We start from the raw sequence: 22,961 nt of genomic DNA, 5'->3' as shown, positions 1-22,961 counted from the left end.
GATTAATTGGAGGAGGGTCAGAGGGGAAAGAGGAGAGAAACTGGGCTTCTACTGTTCTCCTGAGAATTAGCTGTTGTAATTTGAATTGATAGCAATGGGGATGAAGGAGGGGTGGTAGGGGAGAAATTTCAGAGGGTACTGAAGCAAATCATCATTTCAGCATTTTCTGTGAGCTGTTATTATTTCACAACCCTTTATATATAGAAAACTTTCCATGTTTCCTTTGTACACTGTTTTACAGGTTGAAACTGAAAATGGTCTGATTCCAAGATAAACCAACATATTAAGAATAGTTATGGCTCTGAAAGTCAAGTCCAATCCGAGCTATCTTGTCTTTAATACTTGAGGAGTTGCACCTATACTTTTATAGATAATTTTTTTTTTTGAGACTGAATTTCGCTCTTGTTGCCCAGGCTGGAGTGCAATGGTGTGATCTCGGCTCACTGCAACCTCCGCATCCTGGGTTCAAGCGATTCTCCTACCTCAGCTTCCCAAGTAGCTGGAATTACAGGCACCCGCCACCACACCCAGTTAATTTTTGTATTTTTAGTAGAGACAGGGTTTCACCATGTTAGCCAGGCTGGTCTCGAACTCCTGACCTCAGGCGATCCACCCGCCTTCGCCTCCCAAATTGCTAGGATTACAGACGTGAGCCACCTCACCCGGCCTATGACAAACAACACAGTACAACTGGGTAAACCTAGAATGGGGAAAAAAAGCTGGGGGAAAAAAGGAATATACTTATTTAGTTATTTAGGTATGTTTCTTTTCATAACTTGGTATTATGTGGACATTATATTATTCTACAAGGTTTCGAGGCAAGGATCATGTTTTAAAAGTAAACTTAGAGATTTCTGCTTCTAACAATATATACAGGTCTGTGTTCACATGATATTAATAAAAACTTAAAAGGTACAGATGAGCTCCCATTAAAGTAAGGGGAAAATCCCGGAGCCAAAGATAGAGAGGAAAGCAAAAACAACAATCCCATGAGCTGATGCTAGGGCCCCTCTGGCATAGGAGTGAAGTGAGATAGGGGTTATTAGTTCTATAACCACCAAATGTTGATGACCATGTGGAAGCAAAGCTTAGGCCAAAGGTGGAGAGTTAGAAGGGAGATCCTCATGAAAGCCAGGACCCTCACAGGGTTACCTACTGTATTTCAGTAGGTACAATCCCACTCTGCCCTAGCACAAAGAGGTAGGAAGCAATCATGTCTCTCTTTGAACTCTACAAGGTCCCTTTGAGTTTGTGAAATTGGGCCTGCCCTCAGATATGTTTAGAATTCAAATATATACTATCTGCCACTGTGAAAACAAAAAAGAATTCACAATGATATTTGAACATATGAGGAAGCAAACCACTATAAATGAGAATCAGCAGAAACCAAAAAGGATTAGACACCTCTCCCCAAGAACTGCATTTAGTTGAAATATCAGCCAAAAAACTAGAAAATAAATATGTTTAAAACTACTGAAGCTCTAAAAGAAGGAATTGGAAATATGAGAAAAGAATAAGACATTGTCAAAAAGAAAAAGGCTAGGTGATTTTTTTTAAAGAACCAAATAAAACTTCTAGAATTAAAAAAAAAAGTTAATTGAAAATTTTAAAAGCTCAAGGCATGGATTAAGTGGCAAATTAGGCAAAGCTGAAAAGAATATTAATGAACTGGAAGACAGATATAAGGAAATAATCTAAAATGTGCTGCTTTTATGTTCAGTAATAGGATTCTAAAATCATTTCATTGTTCAGGAGGACGAAAAAGAAATTAATTAATTTTGCTTTGCTCAAAAATATTTGTTATAAGTTTAAGGACAACTACCAAATGGACATAGGCATCCGAATAGAAGGTGCAGGGGGAATTTTTAAAGAAAGACTTGATCTATGAAAAAAAAATTAATGAAGGAGGAAAGAAAAGCACAGAGAAGGATAAGTTAAAAGTACAATATTATTTGCTAAAATTAAATCAAAATATACCAATAATTACCATAAATATTAATGAAACACATTTTCCAGTTAAGAGACAAATATTTCTATTTGTCATATAGAAATATTTTAGTCGGGGCTCACGTTCAGAATCCCAGTACTTTGGGAGGCCAAAGTAGGAGGATCACTTGAAGCCAGGAGTTTGAGACCAGCCTGATCAACATAGCAAGACCCTCATCTGCACAAAAAATTTAAAAATTAATCTGGTGTGGTGATATGCACCTGTAGTCTCAGCTACTCAGGAGGCTGAGGCAGGAGGATCACTTGAGCCTGGGAAGTGGAGGCTGCAGTGAGCTGTGATCACACCACTGCGTTCCAGCCTGGGCGACAGAAAGAGACCCTGAAAAAAAGAAAAGGAGAGAGAGAGAGAAGAAATATTTTAAAAATCCAGCTATACATCACTTACAAAAGCTATGCATAAAACATAAAGTAGAAATGTTAAAAGTTAAAAGCTTTAAATTGGAGGGGAGGAAGAGAACACACCAAGCAAGTATTATTCAAAAAAGCTAGCATAGCAGTAGTAATATCAGTAAAAAATAGACTTAGGCAAAAGAGGATAGTTAAATTATGATACAAAGAAATACTTTAACAGGAAGATATCTCTGAATTATCTAGTAATATAGTTTCAAAAAATATAAACCAAAGGTTGACAGAATTATAAGGAGAAATGGGCAAATCCATAATCATGGAGGGAGATTTTAACAAAGCTGATAAGTTCACATATATCATAACTGATCATTCAAATGCGAAAAAAAAGCCTGCCAAAGGATACAGAAACTTAAACTACATAACTTAAAGCTTGATATAATGAAGTATATAGAGTACTGCCCAGATGGTTTGATGGACAAGTTCTACCAAACATTCAAGGAACACATAATCCCCGTTTTGTACAAACTGCTTCTGAGAATAGAGTGTTCAGGAATGTGCTAAATTCATTTTACATGTCTACTAAGTATGATACCAAAAAGAGAAAAGGACAATACAAGAAAGGAAAACTGCAATCTCTCTCATTAAGAATGTTGATGCAACAGCTCTAAATAAAGTATTAGCCAAACACAGCAATATGCATAAAAATACACATTATGCACAGCAATGTGCATAAAAATATATCATAAGCAAGTTGAGTTTATTCCAAGACTGCAAGATTGATTAAATGTTAGAATAGCTGTTAACTTATTACATTAACAGTTTAAAGGAGAAGAATCATCATATCAATAGATGAGAAGAATGTTTGATAAAATTCAGCACTCAAAATAATCAAACTAGAAAGCAGACAGGAACTTACTTAAACTGAAAAAAACATAAATACCAAAACCTATAGAAACAGATACATATGTAATTGTAAATCCTTGGAAACATACTTTTGAAAAGCAGGATTAACACAAGGATACCCGTGGACAGTGACTCTATTCATCAAAGTGTGTATTGGAAGTCCCTGCCCATAAAGTAGGACATAAGGACATAAGGAGAAGAAACATAAGGATTAGGATGGAAAGAAATGAAGTTGTTATTATTTATCATGAGTGGATCATCTACATAAAGAAAAATCTAAGAGACTCAAAAGACATATTAATAAGAACTGAGCAACTTTTGTTGGATATAAGATCAACATACAAAAATCTATTGCTTTATTAATACCAGCAGATAAATTGAAAATGCCTTTGCAAATAAAGTTTTCATTTACAGTAGCAAAAATAGCTATGGGATACCTAAGCAACAATTTAACATAAGACAAAGCTAATTATAACACCTTATTTAAAAACATAAAAAGATCTACATAGACAGAAAGATAAATTATCTCCTTAAATGAGAAGACTCAGTTTTACGAAGATGTCAGTTATGCCAAATTAGTCAATATGTTCAATATGAAAAAGAAGTCCCAGTCTGGTTTTTCAAGGATGTTGACAGACTGATACTAAAATTTGTATAGAGTAGCCAAGAAGAGCTTGAAGAAGTAGGAGGTCAGGAAGTAGGTCCTATGGGATATAATGATTTATTATAAAATTATTGTAATTAAGAAAATGTAGACTTGATGAAGAGATGGATAAATGCCCAGAAACAGACCCAAACACATATGGAAAACCTAATATATGAAAGAGGTGTGGCAAATCAGAAGAGTAACAATTGACTACTCAATAGAAAAAATTATTTGTATACAAAGAAAAACATATAATTAAACTTCTTCCTCCTATGTACCAAAGTCATTTCCAGACAGATTGAAGACAACTACAAGAAAGCAAAACCATAATGCCTTTAAGAGAAAATATAGGAGAATATTTTTATGACCCTGGAATACAGAAAAATTTCTAACAAAAAAACCTAAACCATGAAGTAAAAAAATGAAAACAGTTGACTATATTAAGAATATAATTTTAAATCAATAAATCAAAAATTCATTCAGTAGCTCAGAATAATTAAGGAACTTCTAAAAATTAATAAGAAAAAATGGCAACATCCTAATAGCATATAGGCAAAGAATGTGAATGGCCAAATCACAAGTGAGGAAATCACCTATAAATATATGAAAAGGGCTGGGTGTGGTGGCTCACGCCTGTAATCCCAGCACTTTGAGAGGCTGAGGCGGGCAGATCACAAGGTCAGGAGTTTGAGACCAGCCTGGCCAACATAGTGAAACTCCATCTCTACTAAAAATACAAAAAAATTAGCTGGGTGTGTTGGCAGGCACCTGTAATCCCAGCTATTTGGGAGGCTGAGGCAGGAGAATCACTTGAACCCATGAAGCGGAGGTTGCAGTGAGCCAAGATCACGCCACTGCACTCCAGCCCAGACAACAGTGTGAGACTCCATCTCAGAAACAATTATATATATATGTATATATATAATTTGTTATATATAATATATAACAAGTAATTGGGAAATGAAAATTAAAGCAAAAATATTAGATACATCCCATCAGATTAGCAAACACTGATGTCTGTCACAACCAAATGTTGGCAAGAATGTGGACCAACAGAAACACTCATGCTGCTGGTGGGAGTAGATTGTCATAATCTTGGTGGTAGGCAGAATACTGGTCCCCCAAAGATGTCCATGTTCTAATCCCCGGAACCTGTGAACATGTTATGTAATATGCATTTCAGATAGAATTAAGGTTGCTAAATAAGATAGGGAGATAATCCTAGATTATTCAGTTAAACCCAATACAATCACAAGGGTCCTTAAAAGTGGAAAAGGGAAGCAGAAGAGAGAATCAAGGGGAGAGATGAGATGAAGGAACAGGGATCAGAGAGATGCCATGTTGCTGGCTGTGAAGATGGAGAAAGGGGCCACAAACCAAGAAATTCAGGCAGCCTCTAAAAGCTGGATGTATCTGTCTGTTTTCACACTGCTATAAAGATACTACCTGAGACTGGGTAATTTATGGAGAAAAGAGGTTTAATTGACTCAGTTCCACGTGGCTGAGGAGGCCTCAGGAAACTTACAATCCTGGCGGAAAGCAAAGGGGAAACAAGGCACGTCTTACATGGCAGCAGGAGTGAGGGAGAGTACAGCGGAAACTGCCACTTTTAAACCATCAGATCTCATGAGAACTCCCTCACTATCATGAAAACAGCATGGATAAAACTACCCTTATGATCCAACCTCCTCCCACCAGGTCCCTCCCTTGACACGTGAGGATTACAATTCAAGATGAGATTTAGGTGGGGACACGGAGCCAAAGCATATCACTGGTTAAGCCAAGGAAACAAATTCTCTCCTAGAGCATCCAGGAAGGAACCCAGCCCTGGGCACACATTGATTTTAACTTAGGGAGACTTATGTCAGACTTCTGAACTACAGAAATATAAGATAATAAATTTGTGTTATTTTAGGCCACTAATTTTGAGATAATTTCTAATAACAGCTATAGAAAATGAATACAACTGCTTCACAAAGAAATTTTGGAACATCTACAAAGTCAACTCCTAGGGACATACTCAGTGCTTTGCCACTTAACTAACTATTTGGTCAATGGACCATCAGTGTCACCTGAGAGCTTGTTAGAAATTCAGACGCTCAAACCCTACCTCCAACCTGTTGAATCAACATCTGTGTTTTAAAGATATGCCCAGGTGACTTCTAAGCACATTAGACTCAGAAGCACTACCCTAAGAAATATCTCTCATTTTTGCACAAAGAGACAGTTATTTCAGCATTATTGATTAAGGCAATGAATAATAATGACAACATAATGTCTTTCAATCACAGAGAGTATATGAATAAGTTGTTGCATATTTATACACTGGAATAACACATGGCTGTGAGAGTAAATGAAGGAGAGCTTCTTGGAGATATAACTCCTACAAAATGTTGAATAGGAAAAAAATATGTTGCGAAGGGATGTGTAGAGTATGATGGTATTCACATAAAATTTTAAAGCATCCAAAACAATACTATATAATGTTTATTGATACATACGCATGTAATTAAAGTGTAAAAATACTTATGGAGATCATAAATACTCCCTTTAGGATGATGGTTGCCTCTGGGGAGAAAAGGAAACAAATGGGATGAAAAGCAATTATCATATAAGGTTAAGTTTTGACAAATCTGGTTGGTAGGCACACCAATGTTCCTTATATTATTGCCTACATTTGTTTGATGACTTGAACTATTTCATAATTTAAAAGAAGGTATTATTGACTAATGGAATTTATAAGATTTCTGCAAAAGTTCTGCATTTGTTTTTTGTATTATTTGATTGAAATTCAAGTCAGCTGAAAAATGACTAATCTGGGGTTTTTCCCTTCAAGGCTCCCAGGGCCTCTGTAGTGAGTTTTGTACCGAAATGCCATGCAACAGTTTCCTGTCTTAGACTGCAACTACAGTCCCTTTTAATGTGACCATTTTTAGCAGTTGATCAGTATGTCCTCATAACTAAGTTCTATAATCTAACTTGGGCTTTACAAATTGGGTATTGCATTAAAAAATTCCTGATCTTTTAAGGAGACGCTCATAGTAAAATAAACAGAAAACAAAACAAATTGTTGAAAATTAAACTATTGAAAATAAATACTGACGAACACAACCTTTTAAAAGAAAACTCTAAATATTTCCAACAACTTGTATTCTGGGGAACATGATAAAACCTGTTTTAGACTTATTCTATGAACTACATGTGGAAAAAACAATTCTCATTTTTTATTATCTCCCAAATTCATTCAATTCATTCAGTTTTATCCAGAATCACGCTTTCGTTAAATTTAGATATTGATATTCTGAAAATTCTGGCCTTCTTTCTTTAATGATCATATCTAAATTGTCTTTTATATATAGGCATGTTCCTACCATTTAATGAAGGTCCATATATGTGTAATTCCTTCTTATTTGATTCTTTCTGTGTATGGCTTCTATATACAAAGCCAAATTTAAAGTAAAAGTAGAGTCAAAAAAATTCTTGTTCAAAAAATCCCTAGAAACCAATTCCCCTGAGACATTTAAGTACTTGTGAGGATTTTGAGAAAAAAAATCTATACCATAGAGTGATAAGCAGATGTTGCCCATATGTTGATTGCAGATAAGTTTCTATACGTTATGTAATAGTTTTCTTGAGGTTTTGCCATTATAAATCTAGTTGTCTATACATATCTTTGAGGAAATTATGTGTGACAAATCAGCTGAGGCTAAACTTCCCTTGAAATAGTGCAGAAATTGGGGATTTAAATTTGCATTACTACTTCTTAAACTATTCATAAAATAAGGCATAGTTTCTGTATGTGAGTTGTCTAAATTATGATTCTGTGTCTTCCAGGAATGTGAATTCATTCCTTTGCACTTTTTTTGTTGTTCAGTTTCATTTAGGTCCATGATTACAGCACTGCTTAGTTTTCATTTAAACATCGTTTAAATTTTGTTTATCATCAGGAATTCTTTATTGGAACTGTTTCCTTCTCAAGGGTGTGGTCTGATTACTGTCAAAGTTCCTCTATCCCCATGGTGCATTACTTAGCAAAATTTTTCATTAGTTAATGGTGCTGATTATATCATAAAATATTTCCTTTTGTGGAATCGGATTAAATCACATTTTAATCTCAGAATAAGGTACCATGTTATTTTTAGCAAAAGAATTGGCCATCAGTCTGTGCTATTTAATGTGTAAGTGCAAATATTATTACATTGGTAATAATGTTATTTCTGTTGCTCATGGCCTGATAAAGTCATCATTCCCTTTATTGTTCCCTCAACAGGTAACACCATGTTGTTGAGAGTGTTACCTGCTGTGTATGAAAAGCAGCCTCAGCCAATTAATAGACACCTGACAGAACTCCTGGCCTTGATGTCTCAGCTGGAACAGCCAGAACAGTACCATCTACTACGGCTTTTGCATGTAGCAGCAAAGAAAAAACAACTCGAGGTAAAAAGTACATTGTATATGTCATGGTGCACACAACCAGGCATGTTTCTTTGTGTGTGAACAGCGTATGTGCTTAGGATTTCCTGTCTCATACATTTACAAATGCCCATTTTTTTAAGTGAAAGCGCTCATCTACTTACTCTGTTTGTATAATGAGAAACTGGCTCATGAAATTATGGAGGCTAAGAAGTCCCATCTGTCATCTGCGAGCTAGATGCCAAGGAAAACCAGTGGCATAGTTTCAATTCAAGTCTGAAAGCCTGAGAATTGGAGAGCTGATGGCATAAGTTACAGTCTGAGGACAGGAGAAGACCAATGTTCCAGCTCACAAAATCAGGCAGAGAGAGTAAATTCTCCCTTCCTCCACCTTTTTGTTCTATTCGGGCCCTCAGTTAATTGGATGAGGCCCACCCATATTGCAGGGGCAATCTGCTTTATTCAGTCTACCCATTCAAATGCTAATCTCATCTGAAATAATCCTCACAGACATACCCAGAAATAATGTTTAATCAAATATCTGGGTGCCCCATGACCCAGTCAAGTTGACACATAAAATTAACCATCACAGGCAGAGCATGGTGGCTCCTGCCTGTAATTTCAACATTTTGGGAGGCTGAGGTGGGTGAATCACTTGAGGCCAGTAGTTTGAGGCCAGCCTGGACAACATGGTGAAACTCTGTCTATACAAAAAATACAAAAATTAGCAGGGCATGGAGGAGGCACCTGTAGTCCCAGCGACTCAGGAGGCTGAGGTGGGAGAATCACCTGAGCCAGGGAAGTTGAGGCTACAGTGAGCCAAAATCATGCCACTGCACTCCAGCCTGGGTGACAGAGTGAGACCTTGCCTTAAAAATAAATAAATAAATATTAACCAGACAGATACAGTAATGAAAAGCAACAAATGGGCCAGGTGCAGTGGCTCACGCCTGTAATGCCAGCACTTTGGGAGGTCGAGGCTGGTGGATCACAAGGTCAGGAGTTCAAGACCAGCCTGGCCAAGATGGTGAAACCCTGTCTCTACTAAAAATACAAAAATTAGGCTGGGTGTGGTGGCTCACGCCTGTAATCCCAGCACTTTGGGAGGCTGAGGCAGGCAGATCACGAGGTCAGGAGTTCAACCAACAGGACCAACACCGTGAAACCCTGTTTCTACTAAAAATACAAAAGCTAGCTGGGCATGGTGGTGCGTGAATGTTATCCCAGCTACTCAGGAGGCTGAGGCAGGAGAATCGCTTGAACTTGGGAGACGAAGGTTGCAGTGAGCCAAGATTGCAGCACTGCGCTCCAGCCTGGGCAACAGAGCAAGACTCTATCTCAAAAAAAAAAAAAGAAAAGAAAAAAGAAAAATTAGCCAGGTGCAGTGGCGGGAGCCTGTAATCCCATCTACTTGGGAGGCTGAGGCAGGAGAATTGCTTGAACCTGGGTGGCAGAGGTTGCAGTGAGCTGAGATTGAGCCACTGCACTCCAGCCTGGGTGACAGAGTGAGACTCTGTCTCAAAAAAAAAAAAAAAAAAAGCAACAGATTTGCGAATCTGTGGCTATTGTAGAATGTTGTTAAAGAAAGTTTAATGTCGTCATGCAGTTCTAGGAATCTGTAGTTTCTCAGGTAAGACCAAGAGAAAGACCTACACTTAACTTTATTTGTGAATTAATCAGCCTATAGTGACAGCAAAGGTTCATTTTTCAGATAGCAAATCAGTTATTGTTCTTTGGATTCAAGTAGAAGATTTTAACAATTAGGATGTTTACGATTATCAGTAATAGAACACCCAAACCACAGTAGTTTCATCAAGGAAAGGAATTTATAGCTAATGTGATGGGAAAAAATCAGATGAGGTTTGGTTCAAAAATAATGTGAACAAACAATTTCTCTATTTTGATTTCTCAGATTTGACTTCTAGGCTCCCATTTTCCACAGGCTTTCTCCCTGTCATCTCCAAATAGGTGCTAGGGGCTCTCTTCGCACTATGCTTCTCCTACATCTATCACTGCCACCAACATCCAACAGAAGTCTTGATATTCTGTCTGTTTTGGATGCATGCTCTACCCCTAGAGCTTCTGTTGAACTGGAGGATACACAGACAGAAACTAGAGGCTGCCAGGAAGAGGGAATTTGAAATGGATTCTGGAGGGTACCAATGTATTAGTCCATTTTCATGCTGCTGATAAAGATATACCCAAGACTGGGAAGAAAAAGAGGTTTAATTTGACTTACAGTTCCACATGGCTGGGGAGGCCTCAGAATCATGGCGGGAGGCAAAAGGCACTCCTTACATGGTGGCAGGAAGAGAAAATGAGGAACCCCATGCAAAAGCAGAAACCCCTGATAAAACCATCAGATCTCATGAGACTTATTCACTACCATGAGAACAGTATGGGAGAAACCACCCTCATAATTCAAATTATCTCCCACTGCGTCCCTCCCATAACATTTGGGCATTGTGGGAGTACAATTCAAGATGAGATTTTGGTGGGGACACTGAGCCAAACCATAACATTACATCCCTGGCCCATCCAAATCTCATGTCCTCACATTTCAAAACCAACCATGCCTTCTCAGCAGTCCCCCAAAGTTTTAACTCATTTCAGCATTAACACAAAAATCCACAGTCCAAAATCTTATCTAAGACAAGGCAAGTGCCTTCTGCTTATGAGCCTGTAAAATCAAAAGCAAGTTGGTTACTTCCTAGATACAGGCATTGGGTAAATACAGCTGTTCCAAATGGGAGAAATTGGCCAAATCCAGGGGCTACAGGTCCCACGCAAGTCTGAAATCCAGGAGGGCAGTCAAATATTAAAGCTCCGAAATGATCTCCATTGACTCCATGTCTCGCATCCGAGTCACACTGATGCAAGGGTTCCCATGGTCTTGGGCAGCTCCACCCCTGTGACTTTTCAAGGTACAGCCTCCCTCCTGGCTGCTTTCACAGGCTGGTGCCCCAGTAGGGACTCTGTGTGGAGGCTCTGACCCCACGTTTCCCTTCTGCACTGCCTTAGGAGAGGTTCTCCATGAAAGCCCTACCCCTGCAGCAAACTTCTGTCTGGACATCCAGGCATTTCCATACAGCCTCTGAAATCTAGGCAGAGGTTCCCAAACCTCAATTCTTGACTTTTGTGCACCCACAGGATCAACACCACATGGAAGTTGTAAAGGCTTGGGGTTTACACCTTCTGAAGTCATGGCCCGAGCTGTACTTTGGCCCCTTTCAGTCATTGTGGGAGTGTCTGGGACACAGGGAACCAAGTCCCTAGACTGCACACAGCGTGGGGGCCCTGGGCCTTGCCCATGAAACCATTTTTTCTTCCTAGATCTCTGGGCCTGTGATGGGAGGGGCTGCCATGAAGACCTCTGAAATTCCCTGGACACATTTTCCCCATTGTCTTGGGGATTAACATTTGACTCCTTGTTACTTATGTAAATTTCTGCATCCGGCTTGAATTTCTCCTCAGAAAATGGGTTTTTCTTTTCTTTCACATTGTTGGCTGCAAATTTTCCAAACTTTTATGCTCTGCTTCCCTTATAAAACTGAATGTCCTTAACAGCACCCAAGTCACCTCTTGAATGCTTTGCTGCTTAGAAATTTATTTGCCAGATACCCTTAATAATCTCTCTCAAGTTCAAAGTTCCAGAAATCCCTAGGGCAGGGGCAAAATGCTACCAGTCTCTTTGCTAAAACATAACAAGCGTCACCTTTGCTGTAGTTTGCAACAAGTTTCTCATCTCCATCTGAGACCACCTCAGCCTGGACCTTATTGTCTATATCCCTATCAGGGTTTTGGTCAAAGCTATTCAACAAGTCTCTAGGAAGTTCCAAATTTTCCCACATTTTCCTGTTTTCTTCTGAGCCCTCCAAACTGTTCCAACCTCTGCCTGTTACCCAGTTCCAAAGTCACGTCCACAGTTTCAGGTATCTTTTCAGCAACGCCCCACTCTACTGGTACCAATTTACTGTATTAGTCCATTTTCATGCTGCTGATAAAGACATACCCAAGACTGGGAAGAAAAAGAGGTTTAATTCGACTTACAGTTCCACATGGCTAGGGAGGCCTCAGAATCATGGCAGGAGGCAAAAGGCACTTCTTACATGGTGGCAGTAAGAGAAAATGAGGAATATGCAAAAGTGGAAACCCCTGATAAAACCATCAGATCTCGTGAGACTTATTCTCTACCATGAGAACAGTTTGGGGGAAACTTCCCCCATTATTCAAATTATCTCCCACCAGGTCCCTCCCACAACATGTGGGAATTATGGGAGTACAATTCAACATGCGATTTGGGAGAGGACACAGAGCCAAACCATATCAACCAACATGTGTGCACAGTGAATATGAATTGTTAGTCCAAGGTTATTCAATTATGGTTGTCCCATTTCTTTATAGTTTCACTATCCACCACTTGAAAAAAAAATCAATGCTTAAGTGAAGACTGGAACATTTGTATTCAACATACAAATTACTCAAAGAAAGGCAAGAAAGAATAGTTATATGCATAATTAGCCACAATAGACTGCAAGCTCCTTTGACAAGAAATGATTTCTTCTTTCCTCTGTATCTTAGACTTTTCCATAGTATCTGATAGTGCTCAATAAACATTCATAGAACCAAACTGACAATAAACATAGAATCAAATTAAACAAGGTGATAAATTCTTTGCAAATGGCATAAACAGAGATGGGGGTAATGAATTCTACTTTAGAGGAAAATAGATGCCATGAAGTCCCACAAAGGGTGTGACATCAGGCCATATCCTGAAGAATGCATACTTTTATGCAGATGATTCAGAGCTGGGAATCTTGAATATTGGAGAGCAGAATTCACAGGAAGCTTCAGGAGATGAGACCAACAAGGATGACCAATGCCTGAGCCTCACTCCCAGGGATTTTGGTTCAGTAGGTTCAGTAGACACAATTGGGTACCCCAACTGTGTCTTTTTACAAATACCCATATGGTGCTGCTGCTATTGCTTCAAGGGACAACATTTTGAGGAGCAAGGCTAGAGCTCAGGCAGAGGACTGGGGAATTCTGTGTTACTGGTATGCACTGTCCCTTTTGCACATAGAGCAATATGTTGTTATTTTTGCACGACTGTTTCTTTCAGTGCACTATAAACTCCTTAAGGTACATAGGACTCTTATCTACATATTCATATGCACTCCCTGGTGTAGTGCTGGGTTACATAGTAGGATTCTAATAAAAAGTTATTGAATTAAGAAATGAACAAATTAACAAGAGACAAAAATAGTGAAGACATGAAGAACGAGGAAAAGTCATGCTGTATTCTCCAAAGGGGAAAAAGTGGCTCAACAGGGTCAAGGTCTAGAGAAGTAAAAAAGACAAGAGACAGGCATTGACCTTGGATTTGGCAATTGGGGCTCACCAGTTGTTATCTTTTTTATAAAAGGCAGCATCATTGAGGCAGGGTGGGAGAAGTCAGTCATTTATTGTGGATTGCATATGGAAGGGAAGGTTAGGAAAGGATCATGTGAGTATGGACTGCCAATTCAGGAAGTTTAGAAAAAACAAGGAGAGTTAAAGACACAATAAGAATAAAGGGATTGAAGATGTGAGAGGAAATAGGAGACAGAACAAGGTGCTGGAGGAAGATGGGGAATGTATTCCAGAGCACAAATGAGAGAACCAATTTTGGAAAGGATTGAGGACAGAAAGGATGAGCAAAACTGCAGTAGAGTTTGGGGTGAGGAGTGGAGTTGAAGGATTACTCGATCACCTAGAGCAGAGGTCCCCAACTGGGGAAATAACTGGGCAGCTTCCACTTCCACTGTAGAGAAGGCTACAAGAGGAGGAGTTTCCTCAGTGCTGGTCCCAGCAGGCAGGGGAGGGTAGACAATGGCACTAATAGTGACTGAGCTCATACCATATACCAGGCACTATATAGGTGTATCACAGACATCTCATTTATTTCCCACAACAAGCTTTTTGTTTTATAAATAGAGAAGCCAATGTTTGGAGAGGTTTTTAAGAACAGTGGTGGTACCAAAGGGTGACTTGGTGGGTGAGGTGGCTTTTCACATGCACTTCATCTTTATCAGCCTTTCAACTTTCATGTCCCCCACTGACCATCAGAGTCATACTACCTTCCCTAAAACCATCCTAAAACCATCTGGGCCTCACACTAGCTGGGTCACTTTCCCAAAGCCAGATAGATCAGGCCAAGCTGCAACACAAACCCAGTCTAATTCCAACCAATGAAATCTTTTGACCTCAACACACTAAAGAATCAAGGCTGTGGCTTGTGAAGCAAATGAGAGTTCCAGAAGATACAGGAGAAGGTGAGGGAGAAAGGGCAGTTGGAGGGTGGCTAGACAAAAGAAGGAGAGTAAACAAAATGAGGAGAGGGTGAACTCACATTCTGCTAGGTATTGTGGGTGCTGAGTGTGGATCCCAGAACAAAGAGGCCAGGGTTTAGGGAGCACCTAGAGTGATGTGGATGGACCCCACCCATGCCAGGATCCTACCTGGGGGGAAGAAGTTGTAATGGGGTATTGTGGAGTCCCGTTTCCTGTCACCCCTACCTTCATGGTAAAGCAGCCTCTCCACTTGCCTCCCTCGGCTCTTCGTGCTCTGTTCCTGCTGCCAGCACCCCTAGAACTAGAGCACACCCTTGATTTCAAAGGGTCTGTCACCACAGGTGGTACAATACAGAAACTGCCTGATTCACCTTCTCCCTCACCCCTTCCTTAATTAGACAGTGAGCAAGGGAGATGGAAGGAAATGTGGAGAAAGGGTTTACTGAGAAGGGAAATAAGTGGCGACAACCAGAAATACAGACTGAAGCTTTCAAGTTAAGCCTAATTCATTTCAGGTGAAATAGGAAGCTAACTAAGGAGGTTTTGACTTTGTGAAACTGGAATTCAAGTAGAGCTTCCCTGCCTGCATTAAAGCATTCCTGATGCTCTGTAACTTGGAGGTAAACTGAGTGAGCTCTCTAGGGAGGGGCAATGTGCGGGGATGCTTCATGTGTCCTGAATGCCCTTCTCACTACCCACCTTCTGTGACCTGGGATAGCATGGCTTTCCAGGGCTGGAGGGTCAACAGTTGGCCCTTGAAAAAAAAATTCTCTACATAAAGCTGACTAGTCCATGAGACTGTGAAGGTAGCATCGCTTCAACATCCACATATCACATATCTGTGAGCTCCACGATGTGGCTAACTGAGCAGATGGGTCCCCTTCCTCCATCACTGCCCTCTAGGCATCCTACTTTTCAGGACACTATCCTTGCCAGATGGAAGGAGGCAGTTCCTGGCTAGTAATTTATAACTGGTACCTCCAGAGAATTCTCAGGATCCATTTACAGAAAAAGGCTGGGTGATCAACTTTCCAAGTGGCCTTTATGAGAATCAAGTCTATAATCTTGGCTGCTGTAAACCATGCTGTAGTCTAGCCAACGAAAGGAACAGAGTTTAGTAACACATATAAGCATATCTGTTGTTATCCCTGGGACATTAACTTCTATCCCCAAGCATACAGCAATGAGTGACAGGAAGTGGCAAGGGAAGCCTTCCGGTGATGAATGTTCAGACACAGAGGAGCTGCTTTTGTGATCTGTTCCCTAGAGGAGAGAATTATTTTCTAGGATTTTTGCTCAACAGTGTAGAGCATTCCTATTCACACACCTAATCGAGGCCAAGAATACTCAGAGGTCACTTTTGGTATTCATTTAAAATAAGAAGTCATTTGCAGAACATTAAGAAGACAGAGTGCTGGAATATGTAGACTGTTCTGAAATTTAGAGCAGAACTATGGTTTTTGGAATATATAATATTTTTCAGTATGGTAGGAATTAGTAAATAAAAATGGCAGTCATTTTGTCCATTTCTAGAGATTAGTAGATTCTTAATGCTAGCCAAAGTAATTAAAAGAGAAAATTGGGCCTGAAGACTAATTGAAGAGGAAGTGTGTGCCCACGCACATGTGTATGTGTATGTGTGTGTGTACATAATTGCTCTTTTTTTTTTCTCCTTCAACTTTTAAGTTCTGGGGTACATGGGCAGGATGTGCGGGTTTGTTACATAGCTAAATGTGTGCCATCGTGGTTTGCTACACAGATCAACCCATCACCTGGGTATTAAGCCAAGCATGCATTAACTATTCTACCTGATACTTTCCCTCCCCCCAGCCCCCCAACAGGTCCCAGTGTGTGTTGTTCCACCCCTCCCATATCGTATGCTTGTATTCTCATCGTTCACCTCCCACTTATAAATGAGAACATGTGGTGTTTGGTTTTCTGTTTCTGCATTAGTTTGCTGAGGATAATGGCTTCCAGCTCCATCCATGTCCTTGCAAAGGACATGATCTTGTTCCTTTTTATGACTGCATAGTAGTCCATGGTATATATGTGCCATATTTTCTTTATCCAGTCTATCATTGATGGGTATTTGGGTTGATTCCATGTCTTTGGTATTGCAAATGGTGCTGCAATGAACATATGCATGCAAGTATCTTTATAATAGAATGATTTATATTCCTTTGGGTATATACCCACTAATGAGATTGTTGGGTCAAATGGTATTTCTGGTTCTGGGTCTTTGAAGAATCACCACACTATCTTCCAAAATGGTTGAACTAATTTACATTCCCACCAATAGTGTAAAAATGTTCCTTTTTCTCCACAACCTCGCCAGCATCTATTTCTTCTTGACTTTTTAGTAATCACTATTCTGACTGGCGTGAGACAGCATCTCACTGTGGTTTTGATTTGAATTTCTCTAATGATCAGGGATGTTGAGTTTTTTTTCATATGTCTGCTGGCCACATGAATGTCTTCTTTTGAGTAGTGGCTATTCACGTTCTTTGCCCACTTCTTAATGGGGATGTTTGTTTGTTTTCTTGTAAATGTTTAAGTTCCTTGTAGATTCTGGATATTAGACCTTTGTCAGATGGATAGATTGCAAAAATCTTCTCCCATTCTGTAGATTATATGTTCACTCTGATGATAGTTTCTTTTGCTGTGCAGAAGCTCTTTAATTAGATCCCATTTGTCTTTTGCTTTTGTTGCAATTGGTTTTGATGTTTTCATCATGAATCTTTGCCTGTGCCTATGTCCTGAATAGTATTGCCTCGATTTTCTTTTAGGGTTTTGATCTTTTGGGGTTTTACATTTAAGTCTTCAATCCATCTTGAGTTAATTTTTTTATGAGGCGTAAGGAAGGGATCCTATTTCAGTCTTCTGCATATGGCTAGCCACTTCTCCCAGCACTATTTATTGAATAGAAAATCCTTTCCCCCTCGCTTGTTTTTGTCAGGTTTGTTGAAGATCAGATAGTTGTGGATGTGTGGTCTTATTTCTGAGATCTCTATTCTGTTCCATTCGTCTATGTGTCTGTTTTTGTACCAGTACTCTGCCGTTTTGGTTACTGTAGCCTCGTAGTTTAGTATGAAGTTGGGTAGTATAACGCCTCCAGTTTTATTCTTTTTGCTTAGGATCGTCTTGGCTATTTGGGCTCTTCTTTGGTTCCAAATGACTTTTAAAATAGTCTTTTCTAATTCTGTGAAGGTCAATGGTAGTTTAATGAGAGTAGCATTGAATCTGTAAATTGTTTTGGGCAGTATGGCCATTTTCACAATACTGATTCTTTCTATCTATGAGCATGGAATGTTTTTTCCATTTGTTTGTGTCCTCTCCGATTTTCTTGAGCAGTGGTTTGTAGTTCTGCTTAAAGAGGTCCTTCACTTCCCTTGTTAGCTGTATTCCAAGATATTTTATTCTCTTTGCAGCAATTGCGAATGGGAATTTATTCATGATTTGGCTCTTTGCTTCCCTGCTGTTGTTATATAGGAATGCTAGTGATTTTTGCATATTGATTTTGTATCCTGAGACTTTAATTGCTTGAAAACTTTTATTCTTTACAGAGGAATTGAAATGTTGTTTGCTGTAAATTAAGTTACGGCACTGTTTTCAGATGGCCCTATCCTCAAGGTGCACATGGTCTGGAAGATATATCCATCAATCTTCAATGACAAAATGCCAAACTCGTGAATAGACTGCTATGGGAGCACAGAAGAGGAAGTGACTAACTCTATTCAGGAAAAACCAGGGAATTCAGGGTTGCTGCCCTACCCTGGGCTACTTGGTTTAGAGCATTCTGTTTGGGCCCTCCTTTACTTGCACCCTTAGTTCCCATCCACTCCTTTGCCCACTAAACTCAGTTCAGGTAACTGAGATCTTGGAATTCCTTTCCCAGGTATCTCAAACCTGCTTCCAGAGCTTGTGAAGACTTCGTCCTTGGGTCTATTCTCCTGAGAACAAGCCATGCCGACAGTTGACCCCATATTCTTGAGAGGTGGCCTAGAAGAGCTTGCATATGTGGACTGGGGTGTTCACATGCAGGGCAAAGCCAGGGGTAGAAATAGAAGAGAAGGGATGGGGCAAGGAATGGGGGCTGAGAGACATCTCTCCCTGTTTTCTCTACAGAGTCCAAACATTCTAAATTCAAATCAAGCATCACAGATTGTTATAAAGGCACATTTGTCAGGGAGGAGGATAGAACATTTTATATAGCAGCTGAATATTTGTGGTGTAAGGGCCTCTGCTTGTACCCTAGTGTCAGGTCCTGCATTTGTTATGGTGGGCTGGAAAGAAGACTTCCAAGAAGTAGAGATTTGAGATCGAATTTGAAAGTATGAGATTTCTCTCTGTGTTCAAGCCACTGTGAGTGATCAGTGCCATGTAGCTGGGTCATGGGGGAAGAGTCTGCAGATAGGCCCATCAAAAAAGACACTGGAATCTGGAATACCACAGCATTGGAATTTTGGCCATGGGCCATGAGAAATTTTTGAAAGTCTCTAAGAGAGACCTGAGGTAATTAGATCGGAGTTTAAGGGCTATGACTCTGGTGGCAGTGAGGAGCCTGAACAGAAGGGACAGAGACTTGAGGCAAGAAGGCCAGTTTGGTAGCTTTTTCAGCTGTCCATGGTTTACAGCCTGAACAAAGTCCATGTCAGCTTGTTCTCTGCAGCCAGAATCTATATTCTTAGTGGCTACTTGGCTCTCAGCAAAGCACAGCATTCCCTGAGTCAGGAAGGCGGCTCCCAATGAGGAAGCACTGAAGACACCAGCCTAAGGAAATGCCCTATGTTTGGAAAATAAAATTCCTTCTAATCCAAGAATAATCTATCTAAAGCCCAAAGCAGACTTGTTTCTCATGTGTGGATAAATTTCAAGAAATACCTGTGTTTTCTATCATTATCATAACAAGCTTTAGGCTATTAGGAATTCAGAGTAAAAAAAAAAACAACTTTTGTTTAATTTGTAAAATTGTTATTATTTAGTTTACATTGTTCAGGGCTTCACTTCCCTTGCTCTTTCTATGGATTCAACTATGCCCAGGTGTATGTATTTGCCTTGAGCTTCTTTCTTTCCTTTTCTCTCTTCTTTCTTTCTCTTTCTCCTTCCGTCCTTCCTTTCTCTTTCTTTCTTTCTGTCTGTCTGTCTTTCTTTCTCTTTCTCTCTTTCTTTTCTTTCTTTATTTCTTTCTTTCCTTTTTCTCTTTCCTTTCTCTCTTTCTTTATTTCTCTTCCTTCCTTCATTTTTTCTTTTTCTTTCCTTTTTAATTGTTCTTTACAGGACAACAGCTAAAACCCATGCTGTGTAGCTTGGGACGTATCACTGGAGTTTAAATTTTAAAGTAAAAGTGACATGACTAGAAGCACATGTCACAAAGACCTTGGTGTTCAGGAAACAGGACCTGAAGAGTAAGGACTGGCAAATGAAACTTTATAGAATGGGGCAGGAAATGTGCAAGCATTTTTCATTGCTAAAAACATGAGGTTAAGTATGTTGCCCTGACCTGGAGCAGCTGGCTGACACTTCTGCCATATATGCCAGGGACCTCGCATGGCTTCTCCTGAAGGACATACAATTGCTCCCTAATGCACAGGCAGCATTTGTAGAACTGTGCATTCATATATGCCATTTACCAGAATCTAGCCCTTTATTTCCTCCAAAAGTACTGGATATGAATCTAAAGTTTAAATCTCTATATAGGATAATTTTAGTTATCTAGAAACTTTCTTCTTTTATGTTCTTGTTAGTTGTTTTGTAGTAATACATGACAGTATATGTTTAAACATTGTGTACAACTCTTTAACTACTATAGGGTGGGGGAGATGTTTTATTCAGATGTCACTCTATATAAATTACACTTACCTTCCTTTGATTTATTGCTCAAAAACTTATTAACTCAACTTGTGGATAAGCTCTGTATAAGGCATTAGGTATCCAATAGTGTACAAGATAGGGATGATTCTTTACCTTGTGGAGCTTTCAATCCAGCCTGAAAGGCATCTAGAGCAGCAGTAAGAAGGAAGCATGTGAAGGACCTGCTCAGGGCCACTTAGGGTACACTGGGAGCTTCCACAAGGGCACTATAGACTGAGAAGGAAGAGGAGAGGAGCTGAGGGAGGTTTCTTAAGGAAATAACAGTTCATCTGAGGCCTCAAGAATGATCAGGAGCTACTCAAGCAAAATAGGGGCAACAAGAATTCCAGGCAGAATAAATCACATGAGTAAAATCCCAGCTGCAAAAGAAAATTTAGCAAGTTAAGAATTTTTAAAAAAAATTCATCATAATTGATGTGTGATGTGTAGTGGGAACTGGACTGCGGGAAGGTGGACCAAGTGGGCAAGAGACTGAATGTGGGAAGATGGATAGGAGTCAGGTATACAAAAAAGGGCAAGTGACTGTAGGGTTTTAAGGCAGGAAAAAACACCATTGTGGCTAAAGCTGAGAAGAGATTGGATGGGCAAGACTGAAGACAGGGAGACCTGTTAGGAGGCTGTTGGAATAACCCATGTGTGGGATGCCTGGGTCAGTGATCTCAGCTCCATGTCCCGCTGAGAGAGGCCTTCCCTGAACCTTTGCCTAAATTAGAGCCCTAGGACAGTCTTTCACAGAGCCCTACATTTTCCCTGTATGGGATTTATTAAAATTTATAATTGTTCATTTCTGATGTGATTATTTCTTTTACTGAATGTCTCCTTTACTAAACAGTGAATCTTTTCAGACTTATTGCTATCCCCATCACCTACAGCTTGCAAATAGGAAGGACTCAATCAGTATTTGTGAATGAGTGAATTAATGGATAAATATAAAGAGAAGGGAGTGAACAGATCTGTGGGATTCTTGGGCATTGGAATCAACAGGACATGATGATTGCTTGGATAACAGCTGCTGGTAAGGGAGAAACAGTTTCTAGTTTGAGTAGCCAGGTGGATAATGGTGTCATTTATGAGAAAAGGAGGCACTTAGGGCCAGAAGGGGTGGTGGGAGAAGCAGGTTTTTGGCAGGGGGTGGATTATGAGTTCAACTTTGGGCAGATGGTGCTGTGTATCAGATTTGGTTTTAATACTGGAAGCTACATTTAAAGTCTACCCTACTCAAAAAATGACAAATCAATAAAGTAAATAAAACACAAACAAAAGAAACAAACAAACAGAAATATGGATGGGCAAATCTGTTTCACTTTTGTTGTTCAGTTTCCCACAGGTTTCCCTTTCTAGTTCTTCTATTTTAGCCAACAAAACAATTCATCAAATTATCAATATGTGATGTATTAACATAGAGTCTTTATTCCACAAAAGAATTCCATTTTCTCAGATAAATTTCACCTTTACATTCATATAAGCATTAAGAATCAAGAAAAAATATTAAGATAATGTGACTATGGTATAAATCATTTTGCTTTAATAATTTTATCTTATTATTACATTTTTGTGATCAAAATGGAAAATTGAAGAAAATGTGGGAGATCTTTTCTGCTTTCTTATTTTTATTTATTAAACATTTCTAAACTGGATTTCTCCATTTTGAAGGCTTTGATTAAAGTCAACAAAGATCTCCTACCTACTTAAATTGTCCTTTAAATTGCAGCTTTCATGGTGGTTGGAGGAAATGTAGCATTCCCAATGAGGAAATAACACATCAAAACTTGATTTATGAATAGTAACACTGAAGCATTATTTTAAACTTCACTCTTCAACAGCAAATCACAGATTAAAAGGAAAAGGAACTAAAGGCTCTGAAGATTTTATTGTAAATTTTAAATTCTAAACTTGGGAGATTTGCCTGAGTACCAAGGAGGGTAATAATCCCAGAATGTGTTGAGTTCAGGTTTAATGCAAAAAAAGTTTGCTTTCAAAATTAATTCCAATTTAATTAACTTTTCTCTTTCTTCCTTCTTTCTTCCCTCCTCCTCTCCTCTCTCTTTATAGGTAGTTCAGAAGTGTATTCCTTTCCTAATTGGGCATTTGAAGGATTCAACCCATAATGACATCATCCTAAACATCCTCATAGAGATAGCAGTCTATGAGCCAGTGGCTTTGAACAGTTTTCTTCCAATGCTGAAAGAGATTGGTGAGAGATTCCCCTACCTCACTGGACAGATGGCAAGGATTTATGGAGCTGTTGGGCATGTGGATGAAGTAAGTTTGGCTTTTTTCTCTCCATTCCCCTGAATTGCACTGGCACTTAATCCAACCTATTTAATAGGTTGGATTATTATGACGTGCAAATTTGTCCTGGAATTTCTGGGAGTTCCAATTTCTCTTTGACATACAAATTTGTCCTGGGATTTCTGGGAGTTCTATGACATACAAATTTG

General features: G+C 39.3%; 1 protein-coding gene across 18 annotated transcripts in view; it reads left to right on the top strand.

Annotated features, from left to right (window-relative positions):
- Positions 1-22,961, top strand: part of VEPH1 (ventricular zone expressed PH domain containing 1) — a 243,864-nt gene that overhangs the window by 66,943 nt on the left and 153,960 nt on the right. For all 18 annotated transcript variants that reach the window (XM_047448927.1, XM_047448922.1, XM_024453748.2 and 15 more), the window contains 2 exons: positions 8,175-8,341; positions 22,573-22,782. In XM_047448927.1, coding sequence (XP_047304883.1) covers positions 8,175-8,341; positions 22,573-22,782 — 377 coding nt within the window. The remainder of the gene's footprint in view (positions 1-8,174; positions 8,342-22,572; positions 22,783-22,961) is intronic.

Source organism: Homo sapiens, chromosome 3 (assembly GCF_000001405.40).
Source record: "Homo sapiens chromosome 3, GRCh38.p14 Primary Assembly".
Classification (NCBI taxonomy): domain Eukaryota; kingdom Metazoa; phylum Chordata; class Mammalia; order Primates; family Hominidae; genus Homo; species Homo sapiens.
This window is presented reverse-complemented; position numbering and strand designations above follow the sequence as displayed.